Raw genomic sequence first — 9,333 nt, forward strand, 5'->3', positions numbered from 1 at the left:
CCTATTTTGATTTTTATAAAAGTAAATATAACTACTGACAAACTACTGGTGCAAGTTGTTATAAAAACAGGGCATTCCATTTTTTTAAAAAGTCCATGCCAATTTCAGATACATGGCTTTATAAACTGGGTTAGAATCAGTTCTACTCAGCAATCCAACCCCTCTGTTTCTTTCCTCTTGGTTCAGCTCTGCCTTGGGACTCTCCTTTAGAAGAAATAAGCTGAGCCCTCAACCATCTGGGCCTCTATCCACTTATCTTCCAACCACCTCCACCCTGAGGGCTAGTAGATTTCATCTCATGATGAAACTCTGACCAGTAAATTATAGCTGCCTGATGTGCTGTGCATTGAGAAAAATTCTGGGCTCTGTCTGGACAAGAACAAGTGCTACTGTCAATCAGTAATGTTGGTCATAGAAGCTGAGGGTATTGTGGGGTATTGGGGCCTTCACACTTGCCACCCCTGACCTAAACTAAACTCCCCTGAAACCCCAAGCATCTCTAATTCCAAGAGTTAAGTAACAAGAAATGGCATAAGAGGGGTGCCAAGGGCTTCCCCAGTCCCCTCCCAACTTCCCTATATAGTACAGAGCATCTTGTTCTGGCCCCTTCATGACAGAAGGGCTAGGCTCTGTTCCACCACCAAGTCACAACACCAACGATCCTAGAATTACAAAGACATTTTATATGGATTTTGAACAGAATGGAGAGGCAGAGGAACATCTTTGCATTTAGACATAATTATCCATCCCTCTTCCACTGATGAGTCCCTTCTTTCCAACTTGACCCGACCACACAAGACCCACTCTGGAGCCCTTTATTCCTTCCCAATGGTCCCATAATAGGAATGGCACACAGTGCCTGCCACATGGGGCTGCTAGGTTCATCCTCCTGTGCTCTGGCCTGATGAGCTTCTGCTTCTCTTCTAACAAGGAATCTCCCTTACACCATGACCCATACAGGGAAAAGACCAAAAGTTCCAGAGAACAAAAACACCATCAAGGCAGAAAGGCAGGAGGTGAAGTGAATTCTAGGAATTTCTCTAAAAGCTAATCCTTGACCAAGAAGGCCCCAGCTATAAAGAAGGCAACGACGCTCCCCACTCTCAGCTCACAGTTGGAGCCTGGGTAGCAACATACAGTGAGGAGGGAGGCCCTACCAGAAAAGTGGCCACAGGCCAGGTGTGGTGGCTCATGCCTGTAATCCCAGCACTTTGGGAGGCTGAGGCAGGAGGATTGATTGAGCGTAGGAGTTCCAGACCAGCCTAGGAAATATAGCAAGACCCTGTCTCTACAAAAAATTTAAAAATTAGCCAGGGCTGGGGATGGTGGCTCACACCCGTAGTCCCAGCACTTTGGGAGGCTGAGGTGGGCAGATCATTTGAGGTCAGGAGTTCAAAACCAGCCTGGCCAACATGGCAAAACCTCGTCTCTACTAAAAATACCAAAATTAGCCAGGTGTCATGGCACACGCCTGTAATCCCAGCTACTCAGGAGGCTGAGGCATGAGAATCACTTGAACCCTGGGAGGCGGAGGTTGCAGTGAGCCGAGATCACTCCACTGGACTCCAACCTGGGTGACAGAGCAACACTCTGTCTCAAAAAATAAATTAAATAAATAAAATAAAAATTAGCCAGGCATGATGGCATGCACCTGTAGTCCCAGCTACTCAAGAGTCTCAGGTAGGAAGATTGCTTGAACTCAGGAGGTCGAGGCTGCAGTGAGCCATGATTGTGCCACTGCACTCCAGCCTGAGTGACAGAGAGAGACCCTCTCTCAAAAAAAAAAAAAAAAAAAAAAGCAAAGAACAGTGGCCACCATCTAGACTCCAGTTCTCTTACCCCGTGTTCCAGAACCCAAACATCCTACCCTGTGTTCCAGAACCCAAACATTCCATGTCTCCACAAATAGCACAATGTGTTACCTGAGTAGAAGTGCAGCCCAAAGCTCAGCATCTGCCTGTAAGACCATCAACTCCGGGGGGCAGTAAGGGAAAATGGGGCACAACCACGGCCTGTACCTACCTTGGGCAAGGACAGCACCTTCTTATCAGGGCGGGCAGGACAACGCCTTCCCCAGATGACATATGAGCACCAAAGTTCTCAACAGCACTGTACAATGCATGTAGACTGGAACTTGGTGAGGGGATCCAGGGTGAGAAGCCAGCCACAGCTGTCTCTCAGCTGGAAGGGCCTAAGCTTAGATGGTCCTCCACACCAGGAATGTGGCAGGTGAGATCTTAATCAAGATATCTTAATTAACAGTGGCTCTCTAGGTCTCCATGGAAAATCACTTTGGCTGATTCTGGCTCACCAGAGGAGATGCTTGGGTATAAAACATGGGGCATTACTGTCTTTCAGATGGGAGCTGGCAAAACCAAAATACCAGAACTCCAGCACAAGCAGAGTCCTCTCACCTCTGAGAAGCCTCCTGGCTACCAGTCTTTCACACCCCATCCCTTCATCTCTTCATACCAAAGGAACAGCCAAGAGAAAAAAAGACAACCGCTATGAGAAAACCATGCTAGAGCCAAAGACCTAAAGTCACTGGCCCACCCTGGACAAGGGCTCTTGGCCAGAGAAGCCTGGCTGAACCAGACTGGCAGAGTCTCTTCTTTTCTTCACTCTCAAAAGCATGGGTAGATCCACAGCCCCCCACACTGCTACTGCCCTCAAGATACAGCCCACGCTCCCTGGCCACAGCATACAAGGTATTTTCTTTTTTATTTTTTTAAGACAGAGTCTCACTCTGTCACCCAGGCTGGAGAGCAGTGGCGTGATCTCGGCTCACTGCAACCTTCACCTCCCAGGTTCGAGTGATTCTCCTGCCTCAGCCTCCCAAGTAGCTGGGATTACAGGCATGCACCACCACTATTATTAGCGCCTGGCTAATTTTTGTATTTTTAGGAGAGATGGGGTTTCGCCATGTTGGCCAGGCTGTTCTCGAACTCCTGAACTCAAGTGACCTGCCCGCCTCAGTCTCCTAAAGTACTGGGATTACAGGCATGAGCCAGGCCACACACAAGGTATTTTCAGTCTGGCCCTACCGACCTCATGTTCTGCGCTCCACATCTCTTTTTTTTTTTTTTTTTTTTGAGACAGAGTCTCGCTCTGTTGCCCAGGCTGGAGTGCAGTGGCGCGATCTCGGCTCACTGCAAGCTCGGCCTCCCGGGTTCACGCCATTCTCCTGCCTCAGCCTCCCGAGTAGCTGGGACTACAGGCGCCCGCCACCATGCCTGGCTAATTTTTTGTATTTTTAGTAGAGACGGGGTTTCACCATGTTAGCCACGATGGTCTCGATCTCCTTACCTCGTGATCCGCCCGCCTTGGCCTCCCAAAGTGCCGGGAATACAGGTGTGAGCCACTGCGCCCGGCCAGCTCCATGTCTTTTTATGCACTGTTTCTTCTGCCTGAAGCATCTGCTTCTCACTTTGTTCACCTAGAACACTCTAACTCCTCTTTCCAGAGCCCACATCACCTCTTATATGATTCTATGATGTTTTCCTCAAACTCTGAGGTACAGTCCATCCTCCAGGCCACCCCTGGATATGACACATACGGTGGCCTGACCCTTCGACACCACCGGTGGGGCCTCATGCCTGTGCTCCTGGGGCCCAGGCTGGGACAAAACAATGGATGTGATGGCTCACACCTGTAATCCTAGCACTTTGGGAGGCTGAGGAGGGCAGATCATGAGGTCAAGAGATCTAGAACATCCTGGCCAACATGGTGAAACACCGTCTCTACTAAAAATACAAAAACTAGCTGGGCATGGTGGTGCACGCCTGTAGTCCCAGCTACTCGGGAGGGTGAGGCAGGGGAATCACTTGAACCCAGGAGGCGGAGGTTTGCAGTGAGCCAAGATTGTGCCACTGCACTCCAGCCTGGCAACAGAGCGAGACTCTGTTTCAAAAACAACAACAACAACAACAACCAAAAAAAAAAAACAATGGGTACTGCGCCCTGGTGTCTGGAATGAATGAATGAGTGCACTGCTGCCTGGCCAAAGGAAGTCAGCTGCAGGAGCAAGGGAAGGCTGGCTGTGGTCAGAGACCCCTGCTCTGGGCCTGGGCCCAGACACTGGCTACAGAGGAAAATGCCCCCACCCCTCTCCATGCCTTCCAGTGCTCTAGCCCAGGCCTACTACTCTTGGGTAAAGCAACCATCACATGTCAGGAGGCCTCCGCCGCTGGGATGATGTTACAGTCTATTTTGAGGGTCACACTGGAGCATCTGTCAGCCTAGCCAGCCACACCCTCCATGTGTCATCACTAAGAGCCAGGGACACCCACAGGTCCATGAACTCTGCCTGCAGACATTGCTCCTCCCCAGGGACCCTCAGCTTCAGGCCCTCCTTCGCTTCCTAGAAAGACAGACCTGGATGCCCCTTATCTCCTGGCACCACTGGCAGTGCTCTGATGTCTCCTCACCCCACCAGACCCGCTCCCCGAGTTCACAGCTCTGGTGACTCGGCAAAATGCAGTTGAAGCCCATCAGTCTGTGCCAAGCTCTTAGCTCAAACACAGCCCCTCCTACTCCACAGAGCTCTCTTATACTTGAGGAGTGCCCAGAAAGCCTAGCACCCAGAAGTCAAGCTAGTTACCCATCAGACTCATAGGTCTAACAGGTCTCGCCTACTGGGGAACTCCTACTCATTCCTCCCAACTGTTCCCAGGCTCTGCCTCCTCTTGCAGAAAGACTTTCAGTCCACTCTCTACTGAATGGGCCACAGGCTTCCTGAGGACAAAGCTGATCTGTGCTGGCTTTACATCTGTTCTCCCTATACCTAGTATAGGGCCTGGAACATAGTAGGTATATATAAATATTCTGTGAAATCTTGACATGAAACTTTCCTTATTAGACTAGCTTAGTGTGTTCTTCTCCAAAAGATATTGTCAAAACAAAGGACGTTCTGGAGAACAATGACACTAACAACTGGGTTTATAAATACCTTTTACAAAGGAGGTGTACTCAAATCTACAGAAAAGCAAGTTTACAGATTAAATGGAACAGTAAGTTGATCAAGCCCGGCCCAGAGCATGCCACAATTCTCTGGCCCTACACAGCACCATGCACCTTTCAGCTCTGTCCCCTAACATTGCAATCTGGTAGGAATCCAACAGAACATTCCTTCACTCTACCCAGGGAAGAAATGCAACAGCTACAATGGGGAAAGGCAGCAGCAGCATGGACATGTGTGTCTAGGATCAGGCGAGGACATCTGATAAGTCAGGCTACTCCACTGCACACCCTAAGCCCTGCAGCCAGGGTAGGCCACCAAACATCCCAGGGACTCAGGGCTCACTCACAAAATGGGAAGGTAGATGATCACCTGCTCTAGCCACTTGCCAGAGATGCTGTGAGGATCAAACTAGGTAACACAGGAAAGCTAGACAACCAGTTAATGCTTGGGTCATGGACTAAACCAGGATAAAAAACACACCTCCAAAATCCATGGGAGGCTGACAATGGTGGCTCCTGCCTGCAATCCCAGCACTTTGGATCACTTTGAGGCAGGAGGATCACTTGAGGCTAGGAGTTGGAGACCAGCCTAGACAACACAGCAAGATCCCATCTCTATAAAATAGTTAAAAAAAAAATCAGCTGGGCATGGTGGCTCATGACTATAATCCCAGCACTTTGGAAGGCTGAGGTGGAAGAAATACTTGAGCCCAGGAATTCAAGACCAGCCTAGGAAACATTGTGAGACCCCATCTCTACAAAAAATAAGAAAATGAGCCAAGCATGATGGCACACACCTATAGTCCCAGCTACTCAGGAAGCTGAGGTGGGAGGATTGACTGAGCCCAGGAAGTTGAGGTGGCGGTGAGCTGTGATCATGCCATTGCACTCCAGCCTGAGCAACAGAGCGAGACCCTGCCTCAAAAAAAAAAAAAAAAATCTACAAAAAAAGGGAAATGAGCCAGTTGATGTCTGCCTGCCCTGTGTAACTGCCTTTGGCCTCCTCAAAACCCACCTGGCCCATACTAACATGTGGCTGCATCCCAGCCATGGGAAGGCTTTCAGGGATTCCATAAAGAGACCATGAGGAGCTATTCATACTCTTGCCATCTGACAGTGGTCAACTGAAGCAGGATACCACAGGTATACATGACCTGAGACCTTTCTAAAACTGATGTTTCCTTGCTGGGCACCATGGCTCATGCCTGTAATCTTAGCACTTTGGGAGACTGACGCAGGTGAATCACCTGAGGTCAGGAGTTCGAAACCAGCCTGGCCAACATGGCGAAACCCCATCTCTACTAAAAATACAAAAATTAGCCAGGCGTGGTGGCGTATGCCTGTAATCCCAGCTACTCGGGAGGCTGAGGCAGGAGAATCACTTGAACCCAGAAAGTAGAGGTTGCAATGAGCCGAGATTGAGTCAATGCACTCCAGCCTGGATGATAAAGGAGACTGTGTGGCAAATAAATAAATTAATTAATTAACATCTGATGTTTCCAGATCAGCTCAACAGCCATGTTTACCACATGTAAAATGCTGGGAATAGATGCCCACCTTTCTTTAGACTTCCAGTCAACACCTATAGTTCACCAATCTAACATGACACAGCAAGATCGACTAAAACTGAAATGTTAAAACCAGTTGAAAGAATCCAGATCTCCAACATAGCCAGACCTCATCTCTCAAAAAATACAAAAAGAAAAAAAGAATCCAGGTCTCTAAGTGTAAACACTTCCCTTCTGAAGTTGGTCTCTGCTCTCTACCTAGATAACTAACTCAGCTGTTATCTATGATAAAGACTAGGAGAAAACAATCCATTTTCCTCCCTACAAATTTAAGAAGTGCACTTCAGTTTCTGTGGCAGTATGAGACTCCAGCACCACCATTTTAGTCAACATTATTTTCAAGGTGCTTGTTTTAAGGGGCTATTCTCATTCACACTAGTTCAAGCACACTAAATATATGTGCTTCTATCAGACGGTGGAAGGTGAAAATAGGAGCTTTGAAGCCCTCCCATAAATTTAACTTTCCTGTCTGTAAACGCACTAGATGGGGATAAAAATGAAAGATGGCCGGGTGCAGTAGCTCATGCCTGTAGTCCCAGCAGTTTGAGAGGCCAAGGTGGGAGGATCACTAGAGACCAGCCTGGGCAACATAGCAAGACCTCATCTCTACAAATAATTTAAAAAATTAGGCTGGGTGCGGTGGCCCACACCTGTAATCCCAGCACTTTGGGAGGCCAAGGCAGGCGAATCACCTGAGGTCAGGAGTTTGAGACCAGCCTGACCAACATGGAGAAACCCCATCTCTACTAAAAATACAAAATTAGCCTGGTGTGGTGGCACATGCCTGTAAGCCCAGCTACTCAGGAGGCTGAGGCAGGAGAATTACTTGAACCTGGGAGGCGGAGGTTGTGGTGAGCTGAGATTGCGCCATTGCACTCCAGCCTGGGCAACAGGAGCAAAACTCCGTCTCAAAAAAAAAAAAAAAAAAAAAATTAGCCAGGCGTGGTGGCATGCACCTGTATTCCCAGTTACTCAGGAGGCTGAGGTGGGAGGATAACTCGAGCCCAGAAGGTCGAGGCTGCAGTGAGCTGTGATTGTGATCTTGCCACTGCACTTCAGCGTGGGAGACAGAGCAAGACCCCATCTCATTAAAAAAAAAAAAAAAAAAAAAGAGAGAGAGAGAGAAAGATACAGCAGCTTCCCATGATCAGAATTTCAGAGGCATAGAATTCTGGAGTTCAGGCAGCTTAGATGCTGGCCTGGATCCTCACAGTGCAGATCAGGAGACTGAAGCTCCAACATCTACCCAAGACCACAGAGACCTCTCAGGCAGAGAAGTTACATCACTGAGGAAGTAGGCAAGGCTCTGACTCTGGCAGTGTTGCCCCCAGCCTAGTCCCTTGGCCAAGCATTTTGCATGCACTACAAAGGGGACAGTCCCTAGGAGAAAGAAGTTCTGAATGTTCGAGAACACACCCTCAGCGTTGGCATGGTCACCAGAGGGGTTGGCAAACTTCAGACACCAAACCTAAAGTCTGATGAGGAAAGCCTTTCCAAGGTAGCTGCAGTCATGTTACTTCATAACTTACACACCTGCTTCGTCACAATCACTGGGAAAAAAAGGGAGACTGGGAGAAAGAAAAAAAATTAAGTATCTCCCCTATGATTTCCTGTGTCTGCTTGGATCATCCTAAAATAGGGAGTCTCCCTAATGCTGACTTTTTTTTTTGTTTGGTTTTGGGACAGAGTCTCACTCTATTGCCCAGGCTAGAGTGCAGTGGTGCAATCTCAGCTCACTACAACCTCCACCTCCCATGTTCAAGTGATTTTCATGCCTCAGCCTCCCAAGTAGCTGGGATTACAGGTGCACACCACCACACCCAGCTAATTTTTGAATTTTTTTTTAGAGATGGGGTTTTACCATGCTGGCCAGGCTGGTCTTGAACTCCTGATCTCAAGTGATCCGCCCGCCTCGGTCTTCTGAAGTGATAGGATTACAGGTATGCCAGTTAATTTTTTTGTATTTTTAGTAGAGACAGGGTTTCAGCATGTTTGCCAGGCTAGTCTCCAACTCCTGACCTCAGGTGATCTGCCCATCTTAGCCTCCCAAATTGCTGGGATTACAGGCGTGAGCCACCGTGCCTGGCTCCTAATGCTGACTTTAATGAGGACCTTCCTAAAGTTGATCCAACTAGTAGTGTTCAAGTCCTTGGACTGAAAAACAAGTTTATGAGCAGCAAGGTCACCTGATTCTGATCATGTGTATGCTGTTTACCCTGAGATGACAGGCCGGTGGCCACAGAAGCTTTCATGAATGCTGCAAAGACTCTACTATCTCTTTGAAGGCTACCAGGGCCTCCACATGACTAAATGCCATAAAAAAGAACCTCATGAATACAGCAAGAATGTGAAAGGAAGGAAGTCACAAAAACACCACATGCTCATGAGGGAAACTCCATTCTGGACACTAAATTTTTAAAGTAAACTTGTTACTTGTTTGCCTAACCTTCTAGGTATCAAATTACATCATCACTAAAAATAATCCCTGCTTTACCCCCAACACACCCACTGGCCATCAAGATCTGCTGCTTAGACCAGACCATGCCCACAGTCAGGAAATAATGGCAGCCCAGACCCATGCGGCTCCCCAGCTCACATCAGCAACAAGTGCCAGCCAAAGGACCTGAACTCTGACCACAGGGATCAGCTCCATGATCAGGGAAAGAGGGTGGTCATGAAGGGCTTACCCATCTCTTCCTTTGCTGACAATCTTCACTTCAAAGTAATAAATGCCACAGGCAGCAGGTATGGGGTGGGTGGCACGCACTGAGGCCGCATCTTTGTGATTTTTGCCATGACCTAACAG

The 9,333-nt window shown here is 48.3% G+C and overlaps 1 protein-coding gene across 6 annotated transcripts in view, besides 1 other annotated feature; it reads right to left on the reverse strand.

Annotated features, from left to right (window-relative positions):
* The window catches only part of RANBP10 (RAN binding protein 10), an 83,491-nt gene that overhangs the window by 73,144 nt on the left and 1,014 nt on the right, over window positions 1-9,333 (reverse strand). For 4 of the 6 annotated variants that reach the window (NM_001320239.2, NM_020850.3, NM_001410883.1 and 1 more), the window contains exon 2: window positions 9,215-9,326. The exons of 1 other annotated variant lie outside the window; for it this stretch is intronic. In NM_001320239.2, coding sequence (NP_001307168.1) covers window positions 9,215-9,326 — 112 coding nt within the window. Of the gene's footprint in view, window positions 1-9,214; window positions 9,327-9,333 lie in introns of those variants that run through there. One more of the 6 variants, XM_047434407.1, reaches the window with a different exon arrangement.
* Window positions 5,936-6,015: an enhancer, noted in NCBI's record as "active region_10984". NCBI's record gives its function as "activates an Ori minimal core promoter by ATAC-STARR-seq in GM12878 lymphoblastoid cells {active_cell/tissue: GM12878}" and the evidence as "EXISTENCE:reporter gene assay evidence [ECO:0000049][PMID:35858748]".

The sequence above is a fragment of the Homo sapiens genome, chromosome 16 (assembly GCF_000001405.40).
Source record: "Homo sapiens chromosome 16, GRCh38.p14 Primary Assembly".
Lineage (NCBI taxonomy): Eukaryota > Metazoa > Chordata > Mammalia > Primates > Hominidae > Homo > Homo sapiens.